This window comes from Homo sapiens, chromosome 1 (genome assembly GCF_000001405.40).
Source record: "Homo sapiens chromosome 1, GRCh38.p14 Primary Assembly".
NCBI classification, from domain to species: Eukaryota; Metazoa; Chordata; class Mammalia; order Primates; family Hominidae; genus Homo; species Homo sapiens.
In genome coordinates, this window is record NC_000001.11 from 243,064,822 (window position 1) to 243,085,085 (window position 20,264).

At 44.4% G+C, this 20,264-nt stretch overlaps 2 long non-coding RNA genes and 1 pseudogene across 2 annotated transcripts in view; 1 reads left to right on the plus strand and 2 right to left on the minus strand.

The window, feature by feature from the left end:
• LINC01347 (long intergenic non-protein coding RNA 1347) overlaps positions 1-20,264 on the minus strand; it is a 45,431-nt gene that overhangs the window by 8,508 nt on the left and 16,659 nt on the right. Inside the window, exons 9-14 of the long non-coding RNA NR_029401.1 lie at positions 17,069-17,304; positions 14,167-14,231; positions 4,760-4,883; positions 2,804-2,901; positions 2,270-2,466; positions 1,252-1,420 (exon numbers count right to left, since the gene is read on the minus strand). This is a non-coding gene — a long non-coding RNA (long intergenic non-protein coding RNA 1347). The remainder of the gene's footprint in view (positions 1-1,251; positions 1,421-2,269; positions 2,467-2,803; positions 2,902-4,759; positions 4,884-14,166; positions 14,232-17,068; positions 17,305-20,264) is intronic.
• Positions 16,335-16,438, minus strand: RNU6-747P (RNA, U6 small nuclear 747, pseudogene; annotated as a pseudogene).
• Positions 17,069-17,311, plus strand: LOC124904568 (uncharacterized). Its single transcript, XR_007066972.1, has 2 exons — positions 17,069-17,184; positions 17,264-17,311. It is a non-coding gene; the product is annotated as an uncharacterized LOC124904568 (long non-coding RNA).

Consider the following 20,264-nt stretch of genomic DNA (forward strand, 5'->3'; position numbering starts at 1 on the left):
GCATCCAGCATGCACGTCTCTTTCATCGACTGTTTCTGAGATGTATCCTTCACAATGAACCAGTAATAGGAGATGAACTGGCCAGATGTGGTGGCTCACATCTGTAATCCCAGCACTTTCAGAGGCTGAGGTGGGAGGATCACTTGAGACCAGGAATTTGTGGCCAGCCTGGCCAACACAACAAGACCCCATCTATACAAAAAATAAAAGAAACTAGCCAGATGTGGTGGTGCAGGCATGTACACTCAGCTACTAGGGAGGCTGAGGTGGGAGAACCACTGGAGCCCAGACAATCAAGGCTGCAATGAGCTATGACTGCACCATTGCACACCAGCCTGGGCAACAAAATAAGACCCTCTCTCTCAGAAAAAAAGAAAATAAACTGTTTTTCTGAGTTCCGTAAACTGTTCTAGCAAATTATTAAACCCAAGAAGACAGTTATGGGAACCCCCGATTGGTAACAGGTTGGTCAAAAGTACGGTGACAACTTAGGACTTGCCATTGGCATCTGAAGTGAGGATGGCCTCGTGGGACTGAGCCCCTAACTTGTGGGGTCTGTGCTAACTCCAGGTAGTGTCAGAATAAAGTCATGGGATACCCAGTTAATATCCAGAGCACTGAAGAATTTGGTGTAGAAACTCCATACATACATTCAGTCAGAAGTGTGTGAGTAGAGACAAACATGGGCTTTTCTGTCACCTACCTGCTTAACTGCATAGGAGAGGCAATATGTGGTGCTCATGAACAAAGCAAACATTAAAGTCAGACCAAACCCAACATTTGACTCAATCTTAATATCCAGGTGAGCTTGGGCAAATCATTCATTATTCCTAAGGCTTCATCACTCCGTTCATAAAATGGGGATAACTGTGGCACCTACCTGTGATTCTGTGAGAATTAATGAAATATTATGCTTGGGGTTACTGTGATCATTATACCTATTCCAAACTATTTGACAAGGACAGTGATGGATGATGACATCAAAAAATCAGAAACTGCAATGAGGTCTCTCAGGCAAAATTCCATACAAGCAAATTACTGTGTCTACAAAGCATTCCTGCCACACTTAATTCACCATTCCCTGAACAAAATATGCCATCTTCGTTGTTCAGGTCCGTACAGTGCTGGTTTCCCTTCCCGGGCAGTTTGCGCTATCCCATCTCGGCCCATTCACCATCCCTCCACCTCCCCCTTCCCTCCCCACTCTCATACAACTCTTCCTCATCTTTCAGGACTTGGCTTCAATGTCACCTTAACTGGAAGCTTCTCTCACTCTCCAGAAGAGCTTCCCATTGCACTTGATGCATGCACTATTATTTGATCATTTTTAAGTTACAGTCCAAATCTTTTTGTTCCTGAATAACATGTTGCCCAGTCAGTCTCTCTTCCTGGATTCAGAAGTCTTTCATGGTAGATCCAGCTGGAAGTGACAAAAAGACATCTTTTGACATAAAGGGATGACACAGACAGACATAAGTTCTTAAATGTCTTAAATGTTATGTGAAAATTAAACAGAATTCAAAGACTTGTGGGGAACACTTAGGAGGGAAAGTTACTGGGAATGTCATAAAGGGTTAATTTGTATTTTATTTTATTTTTTGAGACAGTCTCATTCTGTCACCTAGGCTGGAGTGCAGTGGTGCAATCAGGCTCACTGCAGCCTTGACCACCTGGGCTCAAGTAATCTCACTTAATTTTTATTTGGTTTAAGAAAGTCTTGGTTGAGGGTGGTGGCTTATGCCTGTAATCTCAGCACTTTGGGAGGCTGAGAAAGGTATATTACTTGAGGCCAGGAGTTTGAGATCAGCCTGGGCAATATATTAAGACCCTGCCTCTACCAAAAAACAGAGTGAATGTGTGGAAGACAATTTTTCCACAGACTGGGAGTGAGGGAATAATTTCAGGATGATTCAAGTGCATTACATATATTGTGCACTTTATTTCTATTATTACTACACAGTAATATATAATGAAATGATTCTACAACTCACTATAACGTAGACTCAGTGGGATCTCTGAGCTTGTTTTCCTGCAATTAGACTGTCCATCTGGGGTGATGGGAGACAGTAACAGAATATCAGGCATTAGATTCTCATAAGGAATACACAACCTAGATCCCTCGCATGCACACTTCACAACAGAGTTTGTGCTCCTATGAGAATCTAATGCTGCTGCTGATCTGACAGGACATGGAGCTCAGGTGGTCATGCAAGCGATGGGAGGGGCTAGAAATACAGATGAAGTTTCCCTTCACTCGCCTGCTGCTCACCTCCAGCTCTGTGGCCCTGTGGTTGGAGACCGCTGCTCAAATGCATTCGAAAGGATCCATCCCACGCCATTCTTCAGAGTCATCTTTACTGCTGCAGTGGTCAACTTGTAGCACCCCTAAGCTCGCAGGACATATGCTTCAACTGGCATTTCACAATCAACAGTATGTGGTAGCTTGAGTCATTGTGCGGTCACTTCCTGGAAATCACCAGCATCCCATATCCCATTAGCAAGGAGCTCAGCACTGCTCCTTGGATAACCAAACCTATTCCCAAATCCCATCTGTGTGCGTCTATCTCCTGGTACCCTTCCTAGCATCAATTCTGTATTTGTAGGAGTCCAATCAGGAGACACAAACCACTCAAAAGTTTAAACTAGAATGAGCAAGATGGCTCACATCTGTAATCCCAGCACTTTGGGAGGCCAAGGTGGGTGGACTGCTTTGAGCTCAGGAGTTTGAGAACAGTCTGGGAAATATGGCGAAACCTCGTCTCTACAAAAAACACAAAAATCAGCTGGGTGTGGTGGCACTTACCTGTAATCCCAGCTACTCGGGAGGCTGAGGCAGGAGAATTGCTTGAGCCTGGCAGGTGGAGGCTGCAGTGAGCAGAGGTTGTGCCACTGTACTCCAGCCTGGGTGACAGTGTGAGACCCGGTATCAAAAAGAAAAAACGTATATATATGTAAATTTAATATAAAAAGTATTAATTTTGGCCAGGCACAATGGCTCATACCTGTAATCCCAGCACTTTGGGAGGCCAAGGCAGACAGATCACCTGAGATCAGGAGTTTGAGACCAGTCTGACCAGCATGGAGAAACCCCATCTCTACTAAAAATACAAAATTAGCTGGGCATGGTGGCACATGCCTGTAATCCCAACTACTCGGGAGGCTGAGGCAGGAGAATCGCTTGAACCCGGCAGGTGGAGGTTGCGCTGAGCCGAGATAGCGCCATTGCACTCCAGCCTGGGCAACAAGAGTGAAACTCCATCTCGAAAAAAAAAAAAGGTATTAATTTTTACAGAGGATCAGCACAATGAGGGACACACTAGCACAAAGTAAAGACAACTCTAGAGAATACGGAACTAGCAGAGGCCAGGCATTGTGGCTCATGCCTGTAATCCCAGCAATTTGGGAAGCCTAGGCAGGAGGATCGCTTGAGGCCAGGAGTTGGAGACCAATCAGTGCTAAATAGTGAGACTCTGTGTCTACCAAAAAAAGAAACATTAGCCAGGTGTGGTGGTGGTGCACACCCGTAGTTCCAGCTACTTGGGAGTCTGGGGTGGGAGAAATCCCTTGAGCCTGGGAAGTCTACACTACAGTGAGCCAAGATTGTGCCACTGCACTCCAGCCTGGGCGACAGAGTGAGACCCTGTCTTAGAAAGAAAAAAGAAAAGAAAGTGTTAATCCCCCTATGGGAATCTCCTCTTCTCCTGCCCTCTCTGGAACCTCACTTGTCAGTTCTTCCTCCCACTTTCCTGTATCTTTAACCTATCCCCCACTTTTAGCTCCTTCCCATCATCATTTAAATTACTCAAACTTCTTCTGTTTTAAAAACCTCTCCCTAAACTCAGGGAGAGGTCTCCTGCACACCCATTGAGCCATCTGCTCTCCCTGGTGCCTTCTCTACAGCAGCCTGAGCCATGTCTCTAATCCATGAATCTCATCATGTTACTCCCCCATTTACATCACTTCTCCTTGCCTCAGGGATTAAGTCCAAACTCCTTAACAGCCCCTGCTCTGCCCTGCCTTGCAAGGCAGCCTCACTGCTTGCCCCTCTCCATTTCATCTGCTATGGAGTCCAACTGAGCCTCATCTGCCCCTTGAACGCACACTCTTTCTCCTCTGGGAGTCTCTGAAGTGGGTAATATCCTCTGCTTATAATATACTTCCCCTTAAACCTCTACTCTCTTCCTAGCTAGCTTCGACTCCTCTGTCACTTGTCCGCTTTGGCATCACCTCCTCACAGAAGACTTCTTTGACTCCCGAGATTCTCAGGAGCATGGCAGGTGAGGTGCTCCTCCCATGAATGGATGGAGATTAGGGAGTGTGTGTTATTCATGCTTAATTCACCAGTGCTTAGCTGAGTACCTGGCATAAAATAGTTACTGTGGTGGCCAAAGTAAGAACCCCCACTGCCACCAATTGCTCATGTCCTATGTTACACAGCACAGTTACATAGGAAGGGGGAATTAAGAGTGCAGATAAAATTAATGTTGCTCATCAGTTGACCTTAAAACAAGATTATCCTGGAGTATCTAGGAGAGCCCATGTAATTACAAGCATTCTTTAAAACTGGAAGAGGAAGGCAGAAGGTTAAGAACCAGAAACGGTGGGCACAACGGCTCATGCCTGTAATACCAATACTTTGGGAGGCCAGGGCAGGAAAATCCCTTGAGTGCAGGAGTTCAAGGTCAGCCGTGGCAACATACTGAGGTCCCATCTCTACAACAAAATAAAAACAAAATTCACTGAGTGTCACGATGCTTACCTGTAGTCCCAGCTACTGGGAAGGCTGACATGGTAGGATTGCTTGAGCCTGGGAGTTTGAGGCTATAATGAGCCATGATAGGACCACTGAACTCCATCCTGAGTGACAGGGCAAGGTCCTGTTTCTAAAGAAAAAAAGGACATTGGAATCAGGGTCCTCTCCATCCTAAGGTGCCTACAAGGCATCTCTCTCTGCAAACGAGTAAACATCACCCTCCAACTCCTTACAGAGTGGAGGAGCAGGAAAACTCCTTCACCTCATTTCTGTGCTGCTTGGGAGGCCTGGACAGCCCAATAACCAGCTCCTTGCTGATGAAGCAATCAGGAAATGGCTCGAGTTGAGCTAAGGAGAATTTGGATTCTTCTTTTGGTTCTCAATAGGCAGGGTAGGGGCCAGGCATGGTGGCTCATACCTGTAATCCTTGCACTGTGGGGGGCCAAGGTGAGAGGATTGCTTGAGGCCAGGAGCTCAAGACCAGCCTGGGCAACATAGCAAGACCTGGGTGGCATACACCTGTGGTCCCTACTACTTGGTAGGATGAGGTGGGAGGATTGATCACTTGATCCCAGGAGTTTCAGGCTGCAGTGAGCCATGATCACACCACTGCACTTCAGCCTGGGTGACAGAGCCAGACCATGTCACAAAAAGTTAGAAAGAAAAAAAAAAGAGAGAGGGAGAGAGACTATACACAGGCACCACCACATTTGGCTAATTTTTAAATATTCTGTAGAGACAAGGTCTTGCTAGGTTGCCCAGGCTAGTCTAAAACTCCTGGCATCAGGCTGGGCATGGTGGCTCATGCTTGTAATCCCAGCACTTTGGGAAGCTAAGGCAGGCAAATCACCTGAAGCCTGGAGTTCGAGACCAGCCTGGCCAACATGGTGAAACTCTGACTCTATCAAAAATACAAAAATCAGCTGGGCAGTAGTGGCGTGTACCTGTAGTCTCACCTACTCGGGAGGCTGAGGCAGGAGAATCACCTGAACCTGGGAGGTGGAGGTTGCAGTGGACCCCATCACTGCACTCCACCCTGGGTGACAGAGCTAGACTCTGTCAAAAACAACAACAACAACAATAACAAAAACAAAAACAACAACAACAAAAAAAACTCCTGGCATCAAGACATCTTCCTGTCTTAGCCTCCCAATGCCCTGGGATTATACTGTTTCCTATCATTGAAGACACTTGTTCTTATACTGCTTTAAGGTATAAAGGAAGAAAAAAAAAACAGATAATGGCAAATGTTGGTGAAGGCTGGGCATGGTGGCAGCCTGTAATTCCAGAACTTAGGGAGGCTGAGGTGGGCAGATCACTTGAGGCCAGGAGTATGAGACCAGCCTGGACAACATGGTAAAATCCCATCACTACAAAAAAATATAAAAATTAGCCAGGCATGGTGGCGTACACCTGTAATTTTCAGCTACTCAGGAGGCTGAGATGAGAGAATCACTTGTGCCTGGGAGGTCAAGGCTGCAGTGAACTGTGATGGCATCACTGCACTGCGGCCTGAGAGACAGAGCAAGCCCCTATCTAGAAAAAAAAAATGTCAGTGAAGATGTGGAGGAATTGGAACCCACATACATTACTGGTGGGAACATAAAATCGTGTAACCATTTTGTTTGGGTATTTCTTTTCTTGTCACTTTAATTGGATTTTTAAAAAATCAACACAGGGTTTCACTATCTTGCCCAGGCTGGTCTTGAATTCATGGGCTCAAGCCATCCTCCTAGCTGAGCCTCCTGAGTAGCTGGGATTACAGGTGTGAGCCATTGCACCCAACTGGTGTAGCCACGTTAGAAAACAGTCTGGCAGTTTCTCAAAAGGCTAAATGTACAGTCATCCTATAATGCAACAATTTCACTCCTAGGCATATATCCCAGAAAAATAAAAATATATGTCCACACAAAAACTTGTACAACAATCTTCACAGCAGCATTATTCATAATGACCAATACATGGAATACATGGAAACAACCCAAATACCCACCAACTGATGAACAGATAAACAAAATGCAGTGTGTCTCTACCATGGAATACTGCCATGGAAGGAATGAAATATTGATACACACTATGACATAAAGGAACTTTGAAAACACTGTGCTAAGAGGGAAAAAAAGCCACAAAAGATCACATATTGTACAATTCTATTTGTCCAGATTAGGCAAATCTATAGTGACAAAAAAATTAATCAATGGTTGCCTAAGGCTGGGGGCGAAGGTAGGTGGGGAGAGTAGGAGGTAGTGGCTAAGGGGTATGGATTTCTCTATAGGGTAATGAAAGGTTCTAAAAGTGACTGTGGTGATCTATGCACAGCTCTGTGAATATTCTAAAACCTACTGAATTGCAGATTTCAATAAATAAAGTGAATGGTATGTGAATATTTTAATAAAGCTATTATTTAAAATAATAATAATAGGGGGCTGGGCACAGGTGGTCATGCCTGCCTGTAATCCCAGCACTTTGGGAGGCTGAGGCAGGAGGACCACTTGAGGTCAGGAGTTTTGAGCCCAGTCGGAGCAACGTGGCAAGATCCCGTCTCTATGATAAAAAATTAGCTGGACATGGTGGCACATGTCTTTAGTCCCAGCTACTTGGGAGACTGAAGTGAGAGAACCACTTGAGCCCAGGAGTTTGAGGCTACAGTGAACCATGATCATGTCACTGTACTGTAGCCTGAGCAACAGAGCAAGACGCTGTCTCTGAAAAGGAAAGAAAACAAATGCAAGTTTTTATCACTTTGTGAGTGTAGCCAAGTTGGAGGAGAAATAGACAATAATAAAAGAGCACTGAATAATGACGGTGAGTGGCTGGTTAGGCTCAGTTGCTAGCTAAATGGCTTCTAAAAAATTCAATAAAGTTACAGCTCTGGGGACAGTCATGTAGTCAAAGAATGAATGCTAAATTCATTACAAATGCCCATGGTCTTACTTACATGCCTTCTAGTGAAAAATTCCTAAGTGCCTAAATAGCAAGTCTGCAATGATAGCAGCTGTTTATTAAAGACTACAAAAAAGAAATGGAGGCCGGGCGTGGTTGCTCACATCTGTACTCCTTGAATTTTGGGAGGCTGAGGCAGGCAGATTGCCTGAGGTCAGGAGCTCCAGAGGAGCCTGGCCAACATGGTGAAACCCCATCTCTACTAAAAATACAAAAATTAGCTGGGTATGGTGGCGGGCGCCTGTAATCTCAGCTACTCGGGAGGCTGAGGCAGGAGAATTGCTTGAACCCAGAAGGTGAAGGTTGCAGTGAGCCAAAATCACACCATTGCACTCCAGCCTGGGTGACAAGAGAAAGACTCTTATCTTAAAAAAAAAGAAAAAAAAGAAATGGCATCTTCTTCAAGAATTACATCGTGTTTCATGATAAAGAAGCTCTAATTTTGCATTTGTTCAAGTATTGATGAGATTTAGCCAATATGGCACCCATCTTGGATAAAATGCAAACAACACAATTTCATTTTCTCATTAACAAAACCGATTAAGTAGTCTAATATCAATTCTGATCTTATTAAAAACTGATCAGATTAAAAAAATTATGGAGTTGTGGAGCCAATAAGATGTTACAACCTGTTCCAAGGGGAATTCCAAAATCCACACATATCTGAGACCATCAAGTATGATGAAATATATTTGATTACTATATTGAAAAATAAACTGATTACATAGCCAACAATTGGACAGGGGTCTCCTCATCCACAGCCACACAAACCCGATCATGCAGCTATGTGGTTACAAGGCCTACATAGCCTAGAAGGGACTGGTCTGACTTGAGATTTCATTTGTATTTGTATTTTGAGACAGGGTCCCACTCTGTCACCCAGGATGGAGTGCAGTGGTATAATCATAGCTCACTGCAACCTTGACCAACTGGGCTCAAGAGATGCTCCCGCCTCAGCTGTCCCCATACCTGGGAATACAGGCAAGTACCACCATGTCAGGCACTTTTTTTCATTTTTGTAGAGAGAGAAGTCTTGCTATGTTGCCCAAGCTGGCCTCAAACTCCTAGAATCAAGAGATCTGCCCATCTCAGCCACATGAGTAACTGGGGCCATAGGTACATACCATCATGCCTGGCTATATTTATTTTATTTTATTAAATTTATTTTTTTTATTTTTGTAGAGAGGAGGTCTCGCTGTGTTGCCCAGGCTGCTCTCAAACTCATGGCCTTAAAACATACTCCCATCTCTGCCTCTCAAACTGTTGGAACTATAGGTGTGAGCCACTGCACCTGGCCTGACCTGAGATTTCTTTTATCTAGCATCCTTTACTTGGTAGGATTGGGAAAGGCAGTAGTGTTTTTTAAAATTACTTAATAATTCAATCAGAATCAAACTCAACCTTGACCACTGCCTTCTCTCACAGCTCACATCCAGTCTGTCAGGAAATCCTACTGACTGACTTCAACATGTATCCAGGCTCTGACCATCTCTCACCACCACCGTGAACCCGGTCAGGATCACTATCATCTCCCACCGGGATGTTGCCACAGCTTGGCCCCCATGCTTCTACCCAAATCTTCCCATAGTCTTTCTCAACTTGGCAGCCAGGTCGTGCTTTTAAATCAGGAGACAGATCACGTCGCCTCTCTGCTCAGAAGCCCTCGGTGGTTCCCATTTTAGTCAGAGTAAAAGCCAAAGCCCCAGCAATAGCATCCCAGGGCTTACACGATCTGTACCGATCCCAGCCCAGCAACTCCCTGGCCTCCTCGCTGACTTCGCTCCCTCTATCTCTTTGCTCCACTGGCCTCCTTCCAGAGCCTCAGACACACCAGAGAGTTTCCTCCTAATGCCTTTATCCTGTTGACTCAGCCTACAATGCTCTTCCCTCAGCACCTTGGCCAGCTCCATCATCTGCTTCAAACTTTTGCTCAATATTCACTTATGAGGCCAACCCTGACCACTCTACTTAACACTGCCATCTGTCCCCATTCCCACCATGCTCATTTCTTTCTTTCTTTTTGAAACAAGGTCTTGCTTTATCGCCCAGGCTGGAGTACACTGGTGCAATCACAGCTCACAGCAACTTCAACCTCCCAGGCTTAAACAATCCTCCCGCCTCAGCCACCCTAGGAACTGAGACTACAGCTGCATGCCACAACACATGGCTTTTTTTTTTTTTTTTTTTTTGAGACGGAGTCTCGGTCGCCCAGGCTGAAGTGTAAGGGTGCGATCTTGGCTCACTGCAATGTCTGCCTTTTGGGTTCAAGTGATTCTCTGCCTCCCGAGTAGCTGGGATTACAGGCACCCACCACCACACCTGGCTAATGTTTGTATTTTTAGTAGAGATGGGGTTTCACCATCTTGGCTAGGCTGGTCTTGAACTTCTGACCTCATGATCCACCCTCCTCGGCCTCCCAAAGTGCTGGGATTACAGGCGTGAGCCACTGCGTCTGGCCTTTTAAAAAAATTTTTTTTAGACATGAGGTCTCATTATGTTGCCCAGGCTGGTCTTAAGCTCCTGGGCTTAAGCGATCCTCCCACCTCAGCCTCCTAAAGTTCTGGGATTACAGGCGTGAGCAACTGTAACATGAGGTCCCAGCTTCATGTTCATTTTGTGTTGTTGCTACAACAAAGTACCCTACATTTAGTGGCATCAAACACCACAAATCTACCATCTTACAGTTCTGGGGGCCAGAAGCCCAACTAGGTCTATTAAGGCTAAAGTCAAGGTGTCAGAGGGGCTGCATTCCTTCTGGGGGAGGCTCTAGACAGAATGTGCTCCTTTGCCTTTTCCAGCTTCTAGAAGCCACCCCCATTCCTTGACTTACCTCGTGACTCCATATTCAAGGCCAGAAGTGCAGCATCTTCAAATCTCCCTCTCTGACCTCTTCTTCCATTACCACATCACTTTCTCTAATTCTGACTCTCCTACCTCCTTCTCTTATAAAGATCCTTGTGATTGGTGGGTATGGGGGCTCCCATCTGTAATCCCAACATTTTGGGAGGCCAAAGAGGAAGAATTGCTTGAGGCCAAGAGTTAGAGATCAGCCTGGGGAAAATAGGAAGACCCTGCCTTTACAAAATTAAAATTAAAATCAGCTGGACATGGTGATGCATGCCTGTAGTTCCAGCTACTGGAGAGGCTAAGGTGGGAGGATTGCTTTAGCCTAGGAGGTCAAGGCTGCAGTGAGCTATGATCACATCACTGCACTCCAGCCTCAGTGGCAGAGTGAGACTCTGTCTCCAATATAAGAAAAGAAATATACATTTGGTCTCTGCCCCTGGTTCCTGGCATACAGCTTCCAAAGCTCTTATAAAGCCGTTCGTGACAGAGGTAATAGGAGCATTTTCTGTTTTGATATTTAGTCTTAGTCCCAGGTTCCTGAGACAAGGGCCTCTAAGGTCTTTCAGATCTGCAGCATGGTAAGAATGCATGTGGGATGCTGTTGAGCTAACAGGGTGGCTGCAAGCTCCTAGACTGCTTCAGGAGGAGGGCTAGCTGCCAGAGAAAGCAACCACATTTTTTTTTTTTTAAACGGAGTTTGGCTCTTGTAGCCCAGGCTGCAGTGCAATGGCACAATCTCAGCTCACTACAACCTCCACCTCCCGGGTTCAAGCAATTCTCCTGCCTCAGCCTCCCGAGTAGCTGGAATTATAGGGATGTGCCACAATGCCTAGCTAATTGTTGTTATTTTTAGTAGAAACGGGGTTTCACCATGTTGGTCAGGCTGGTCTCAAACTCCTGACCTCAAGTGGTCCATGTGCCTCAGCCTTCCAAACTGCAAGGATTACAGGAGTGAGCCACCGCACCTGGCCCCAACCACATTTTTTGAGGCTTGGAACTTTCAGCCTCACCTGCTGAACTCCAGGAGGCAAAAGGAACTGGAGATTGACTTAACTACCAATGGCCAATGATTTTATCAATCATGCCTCCATAAAAACCCAAACAGCAGGGTTTGGAGGGCTTCTGTGTTGCTAAACACAAGGAGGTCCTGGGAGGGTAGTGTGCCCAACAGAGGGCATGGAAGCTCTGTGCCCCTCCCCACTTACCCTGTCCTGTGCATCTCTTTCATTGGCTGTTCCTGAGATGGAGCCATTACATTGAGCCAGTAATAGAAAAATAAGGTAGCCAGATGCGCTGGCTCATGCCCGTAATCCCAGCACTTTGGGAGGCAGAGGTGGGCGGAATCACTTGAGCCTAGGAATTTGAGACCAGCCTGGGCAACATAAGAAGACCCCATCTATACAAAAAATAAAAGAAATTAGCCAAATGTGGTTGTGGGAACCCTGTAATTCCAGCTACTTGAGAGGCTGCAGCAGGAGAATCACTTGAGCCCTGGAGGTTGAGGCTTCAATGAGCTATGATTGCACCACTGCACACCAGCCTGGACAACAGAGCGAGGCCCTGTCTCTTAAAAAGAAAAGAAAAAAACCTGTTTTTCTAAGTTCTGTGAGTTGTTCTAGTAAATAATTAAACTCAAGAAGAGGGTCATGGGAAACCCTGATTTCTAACTGGTTGGTCAAAATACAGGTGACAACCTAGGACTTGCAACTGGCATCTGAAGTGAGGGTGGTCTTGTGGGACTGAGCCCCTAACCTGTGGGTTCTGCGCTAACTCTAGGTAGTGTCAGAATGGAATTGTGGGATACGCGGTTGGTATCCAGAGAGTTGGAGAACTGGTGTAGAAACTCTGCACACACATTTGGGCAGAAGTCTGTGAGTAGAGAGAAACGTGTTGCGGGAAGTCAGGGACCCCAAACGGAGGGACCGGCTGAAGCCATGGCAGAAGAACATAAATTGTGAAGATTTCATGGACATTTATTAGTTCCCCAAATTAATACTTCTATAATTTCTTAGGCCTGTCTTTACTGCAATCGCTGAACATAAATTGTGAAGATTTCATGGACACTTATCACTTCCCCAATCAATACCCTTGTGACTTCCTATGCCTGTCTTTACTTTAATCTCTTAATCCAGTCATCTTCATAAGCTGAGGATGAATGTCCCCGCAGGACCCTGTGATAATTGCGTTAACTGCACAAGTTGTTTAAACAATATGAAACCTGGGCACCTTGAAAAAAGAACAGGATAACAGCAATTTCAGGGAACAAGGGAGATAACCTTAAACTCTGGCTGCCTGTGGGCCGGGTGGAACAGAGCCATATTTCTCTTCTTTCAAAAGCAAATAGGAGAAATATTGCTGAATTCTTTTTCTCAGCAAAGAACATCCCTGAGAAAGAGAATGCATCCCTAAGGGGAGGCCTCTGAAATGGCCGCTTTGGGGACGGCTGTCTTTTACAGTCGTCGATAAGGGATGAAATAAGCCCTGGGCTCGCGTGGCGCTCCCAGGCTTATCAGGACAAGGAAATTCCCGCCTAATAAATTTTGGTCAGATGGGTTGTCTGCTCTCAAACCCTTTCTCCTGATAAGATGTTATCAATGACAATGCGTGCCCGAAACTTCATTAGCAATTTTAATTTCGCCCCAGTCCTGTGGTCCTGTGATCTTGCCCTGCCTCCATCTGCCTTGTGATATGTTATTACCTTGTGAAGCATGTGATCTCTGTGACCCACACCCTATTCGTACACTCCCTCCCCTTTTGAAAATCACTAATAAAAACTTGTTGGTTTTGCAGCTTGGGGGGCATCACGGAACCTGCCGGCATGTGATGTCTCCCCTGGACACCCAGCTTTAAAATTTCTCTCTTTTGTACTCTTTCCCTTTATTTCTCAGACCGGCCGACACTCAGGGAAAATAGAAAAGAACCTACATGAAATATCAGGGGTGAATTTCGCCCGATATCACACGGGATCTTCTCTCACCTGTCTACCTGCTTAACTGCACAGGAGAGGCAATGCATGGTGCTCATGAACAAGGCAAGCATTAAAGTCAGACCAGACTAACATTTGACTCAGTCTTAATATTCAGGTGAGCTTGGGCAAATAGCTCATTAACCCCAAGTCTTCATCATTTTGTGCATATAATGGGGATAACTGTGGCACCCACCTGTTTTTGTGAGAATCAATGAAATATTATGCTTGATGTTATTGTGATCACGATACTATCTGACAAGGGCAGTGATGCATGATAACATCAAAAAATTAGAAACTGTAATGAGGTCTCTTGCGCAAAATTCCATACAAGCAAATTACTGTCTCTACAAAGCATTTCTGCCACACTTAATTCACCATTCCCTGAACAAAATGTGCCATCTTCATTGTTCAGGTCTGTATAGTGCTGGTTTCCCTGCCTGGGCAGCTCACTGCATCCCATCCCAGCCCAATCCCCATCCCTCCACCTCCCCCTTCCCTCCCCACTCTCATACAACTCTTCCTTATCTTACAGGACTTGGCTTCAATGTCACCTTAACTGGAAGCTTCTCTCCCTCTCCAGAAGAGCTTCCCATTGCACTTGATGCATGCACTATTATTTGATCATTTTTGAGTTACAGTCGAAGTCTTTTTGTACCTGAATAACATGTTGCCCAGTCAGTTTCTCTTCCTGGATTCAGAAGTCTTTCATGGTAGGTCCAGCTAGAAGTGAAAAAAAGACATTAAAAAAAAAAAAAAAAAAAAAAAAAAAAGAGGGATGACACAGACATCAGCACTTAAAAGTTTTAAATGACATGTGAAAAACAAAATTTAAGGGCTTCTAGGAGAAATGTAGGAGGGAAGGTGTTACTGGGAAATATGATAGAAGGTTAATTTTTATTTTATTTTATTTTTAGAGAAAGAGTCTTGCTCTATCGCCTAGGCTGGACTGCAGTGGTGCAATCACAGTTAACTGCAGCCTCAACCTCCAGGGCTTGAGCAATATTCCCATCTAATTTTTATTTTGTTTAAGAAATGCGGTCTTGCTCTTAGCAAAGCTAAAGTGCAATGGTGTGATCATAGCTTACTGCAGCCTCAACCCTCTAGACTCAAGTGATCCTCCAGTCTTAGCCTCCCCAGTAGCTGGGACTACAGGTGTGCACTGCAACATGTAGCTCTTTTTTTTTTTTTAATTTTTAGTAGAGACAAAGTGTCACTATGTTGACCAGGTTGGTGGTGATCTCCTACACTCAGGCAGTTCTCTCACCTCAGCCTTCCAAAATGCTGGGATTACAGGTGTGAGCTGCCACACCTGGCTGAGGGGGTTAATTTTTAATTATATAAAGAGTTCAAAGCAAATATCAGAAGGAGCCTAAATGCCTCCAGCAGTTGACTGGTACTGGTAAATTGTGATACATCCATATAGTAAAATATTATGCAACCATGAAAAGGATTAAGATAGATCAATAGGTATTGGCACAAATGTCCACGAAATATGAAAATATGAAGTGATGTTCAATCACCATGTATGTATCTTGAAGGATATGGACCATTTTCTCAATTGCAATTATTTCCTGAGATAAGATTATGGGTCTAAAGAGTGAAGGACATTTTTCACTTATTTAAAAGTATTTATTATTTTTATAATTTAATAAAAGATTAAACAGATCATTGAATTAGTAAAAGACAAAGTAACTCAATAAATAAATGGAAAAGACACAGATACCCCAGGCATGGTGGCTCATGCTTATAATACCAGTACTTTGGGAGGGGGTGGTGGGGGGATTGCTTGAGGCCAGGAGTTCCAGACCAGCCTAAGAAACAAAGCAAGACCTCGTCTCTAGTAAAAATAAAAAAATAAAAATAATTGGCCAGGCATAGTGGCATGTGCCTACAGTCCCAACTACTGAGGTGGAAGGATCACCTGAGCCTAGGAGGTCAAGGCTGCAGTGAGTTGAGACTGTGCCACTACACTGAAGCCTAGGAGACAGAGCGAGACTTCATCTCAAAAAAAAAAAAAAAGGACAATAAAGAAATAAAGCTAATAAGCTAACATAAGGAAAGATAAAATATGTGACAAATAGGCTGGGCACATGGCTCACAGCTGTAATCAAGCACTCTGGGAGGCCGAGGCGGGTAGATCACGAGGTCAGGAGTTCGAGACCAGCCTGATCAACATGGTGAAACCACGTTTCTACTAAAAATACAAAAATTAGCCGGGCATGGTGGCATGTGCCTGTAATCCCAGCTACTCAGAAGGCTGAGGCAGGAGAATCGCTTGAACCTGGGAGGCACAGGTTGCAGTGAGCCAAGATCACACCACTGCACTCCAGCCTGGTCGACAGAGCGAGACTGCGCCTCAAAAAGAAAAAAGAATGGGTGACAAAGTAATAATATGAGGTCTTTCATTTATCACACAGAAAATAACTTGTTAAATTATAATACCTGTGTGGGCGAAGGTGCAGTGAAATGGCCATTTTCTTGTAGTATTAGTGGTGTTTAAAATGTATATAAGCCTTCCAGCATAAAGCTTGGAAATTTTTTTTAAATCATACAGACAGTGACTCATTATACTGCCTCCTCCAACTCCTGGCCTCAAGCAATCCTCCCACCTCAGCCTCCCAAAGTGCTGGAATTACAGGCTGACAGCCACCATGCCTGAAAGCTTTGCAATTTACATCAAGGGTAATAAGAATGCTCATGCCCTGTGACTCACAGTAATCTCACTTCTGGAAATTTCATCTTTGGATATAATTCAACCTAAACAAAAGGTCATATGCACAAACACAGTGAAAATCTGGGAGTAATTTTTTTCTCTTTTTTTAAAAAAATATGGAATGCTTCACAAATTTGCATGTCATTCTTTCACAGAGGCCATGCCAATCTCTCTATTGTTCCAACTTAAGTATGTGTGCTACTGAGGCAAGCATGAGTAATTTAAGATAGAGTGGTTAAGTGAAATAAGGAAGAATTATGGAGAATTTAAAAATCTATGCTATTTATAGGCACCTAGTAACAGCTCAGTAAATATTAGCTGCTACTATTATTATTTTTATGGTAATTTCACTCAATTAAAAACTGTCATTAAAAATTACCATTGTCATGGAACATAATGTCTCCTACTGTATAATTGTAGAAACAGATACAATTTGTCCCTTGGTATATGGGGGGATTAGTTCCAGCTCTCCCATTTCTGTGTATACCAAAATCCACGCATACTCAAGTTTTCGAAGTCAGTCCTGTGGAATCCACATATAACACAAATGGGAAAATTAGTGAGGTGTGGTGACAAGCACCTGTAGTCCCAGCTACTTGTGAGGCTGAGGCAGGAGGATTGCTTGAGCCCAGGAGGTTGAGGCTGCAGTGAGCCATAATTGCACCACTGCACTCCAGTCTGGGCAACAGAGTGAGACAGAAGGTTGACTTTTTAATAGAATTTTTCTGTTCACTTGAAGATATGGTCAGGATTGTGGCATATGAAAATTCTTCATAAAATAACTATCTAATCCAATTAATGCTGGAATTGGGAACAGCAGAAGTGTCATCTCAGAGCTACTCACAATGAAAGGTGATGTCTGGGGCTCAGGTGTGTTGAGGTCCCCATGCCTGGACTATGGGTGCTGAGTGGGATTTACTTGTCCATCCATTTTCTATATTCCAGCACTGGGAAACTAGGGTTTATCCATCTTGATAAGATGTCATTTAAATTCCACTTCGCAAGAACCACAAATGGAAGAAGGGCCATGAAACCGCAGGACAGTACTTGTTCTCAAGGGAATCTTCAGCTTAGGTGGCTCTGTAAAAGAGAAATTACATTGTTGAAAAATCGTCGCAGGTCAGGTGAGGTGGCTCATACCTATAATCCCAGCCCACTGGGAGACTAAGACAGAAGGATTCCGTGAGGCCAGGAGTTCAAGACCAGCCTGAGCAACACAGTGAAACCTCATCTCTACAAAAAATTAGAAAATGAACTGGGTGCGGTAAAACATTCGTATAGTCCCAGCTACTCTGGAGGATGAAATAGGAGGATCGCTTGAGCCCAGGAAGTGGAAGCTGCAGTGAGCTCTGATCTCACCACTGCACTCCAGCCTGGGTGACAGAGTGAGACCCTGTCTCAAGACACACACAAACACACACACACACACACACACACACACACCCCCAATCTCAGTCTGTCCAGCCTTGACTAATCAAAAGGGCCTTCTGGTTACAGAAGAGGTATGCTCTTTTGTAGGACAGGGAGAGACCAGCAAGCTTGTTCACAGACTTTTCCTCATCCTCTGCTTAGTTTTCCAAGAACCCTCACAGTGGAAATGGAGTCTCTGGGAAAATGACCTAAATCTTTGGGTTACCAGGGGAGAAATATGCCTCCTTTGTCAATTAATAAATGGAACATCTGCCTTAAAATCCAGGGAGTTCTGCTAGAATGAATCACTCCCTAAGACCCTGACCTATGCATGGAACATGAAAAACTGAAGTTTAACTGGGCACGGTGGATCACGCCTGTAATCCCAGCACTTTGGGAGGCTGAGGCGGGCAGATCACCTGAGGTCAAAAGTTCTAGATCAGCCTGGCCAACATGGTGAAATCCCGTCTCTACTAAAAATACAAAAATTAGTTGGGCATGGTGGTGGACACCTGTAATCCCAGCTACTCGGGAGGCTGAGGCAGGAAAATCTCTTGAACCCGGAAGGCGGAGGTTGCAGTTACTTCTAGAAGAATTTCCATTAGCCCTTTGAAATCCTTCAACATTCATGAAGGCCAAAGAGTTTTCACCTAATTTAATCTGATGGGTATGTGACCAGAGTCTTTCTAGGGAATAGAGACTCCCAAACAGTTCAGCTGGGAAGTGAGGAGAGAATTTATTACTCAAAATCAAAGGGAAATGAAAAGAGGCCAACATAGAATGTCATTATTCTTTCTTGGTGGGGAATGGATTCCAGAGTCATTCTGTGACCTTTACATGACCTCCTTATTAGCAGCTAAAAGCTTCCAGTGTAGGATGCAGCCAGCTAGGTTCTCTTCTAATGTAATAAAATTTGCTTCAGCAAATCTTATGCAGAGCCATCTCCAGGCTCCAGAAACAATAGGCTATAAATTACTGGATCTCCCATTTGATACAATGAAGTATAAGCACGGTCCTGAATGACTCCTCTACATACTACTCTGGGTGGCTTGAAGTGAATTTGATACAAGAACTGGAGCGAGCGCAAAGCAGAGCTAGATCTAGGATTAATGTGCTTGGGCCCAGCTCCTCACTACTCACCTATGAGTCTAGTTCCAGAACCCAAGTAGAGGGTGGGGAAACAAGGCTCCTGACTTTTTTTCCCTAATGTCTGCATCTCTTTCACATTTCTTATCTCCTTGCAAAGAAACTAAACAGGCTCAACTGAAATAACTAAATGATTAAACCCTATACAGAGAATCTCCAAAGACTGACAAAATATCATTCAAGACTGTTACACAGACAACCTTGAGGATGACTTGATGTACCAGTGATCTACAATATTTGGGATCATTCCAAATTCCCATCAAGGATCTGCCTATATCAACAAAGGAGCCAAGGACCAACCATTCAAATGGGCCCTGCTGCCAAGCCTTTTTTTTTTTTTTTACAATGCCATCTCTTCATATTGTTCCATTTAACAAAACTGCAGCCCTTCATCTACCCTTAAGTCCCTTGGCCAATGGTACAGAGCCAGAGTATGCTACTCCCTAGCAGGAAATCAACAGGATGACCTACTAAACACCATTCAGAAGATGCTAAGACCCATGAATTGCAACAGGAAAGAAAAGACAGAGAATTAGTCAGACAGGTACATGCTGTGCCAAAAATGCACTACAGCCCCCACCCAATTCTGCCTAATCCTAGCTGGGCTGACACCAACCTGATGAGACAGGCCTATGAGATCTCAAACTAAAACAGAAACTCCTGAACTGGGTTCTTTCAAACCCAGGAAGCAGCAGTAAATCATTAAAGAACAGATAAGTTCTTAAGATGAGGGAGAGTTTCAGATAAATGGAATGCTGGTAGAACACAGGGCCAAAGGAGCAAAAGTTAACCTAAGCCCAGGTAGAACCTTGTTTACTAGAGTACTGGGCATGGGTTGGGGCAACTATTCTAACCAGAGAAACTGGCTTCAGTGAGGGCAAGTTGGCAATCCAAGGTATAGCATGCATAGGGCTGGCAAAATTCAGGGTGACTGAAGCAAAAGCTTCAGAACCAGAAAGACCACATCTGGGGGTAGAGCACAAAACTCTCAAGAGATGAATCTTTGTAAGAGTGAGGCAGAACTATATAGCAGTTTTAGGAGATCTGTTGGTGCCCAGCAAGAGCTCCAAACAGGCTATATGCAGGGATGCAGGCTGTAGTCTCAGGAGAGGAGGTTCACAAAAGTCATTCAGTCCAAGACCTCAAACTGTGTTCTCTACTAAAAGGAATCAAGGTTCCCTAGAGAAATGGCTGACTCCATGTATGGTGCAGTATATTGATCCTGGAACATCTTTTTTGCCAGAAAGCAAGGAAGCCATCAAAGTCCAACAGGATCACATCAAAAAGACATGAAAGTCAACTTGAAGAGATAATTATTAACCTAGATGAGACAATGTAAGCATCCAAAACAATATAGACTGCAATGGCCTGAAATACATCAAATGCAAACAATAATCTGAGTTCATAATGGTATTCAGAAAAAAAACTACTGGTCAGTAGAGGGAAGGTTACTAGGTCACTAACTTACTACTCTAAAAAGTGAC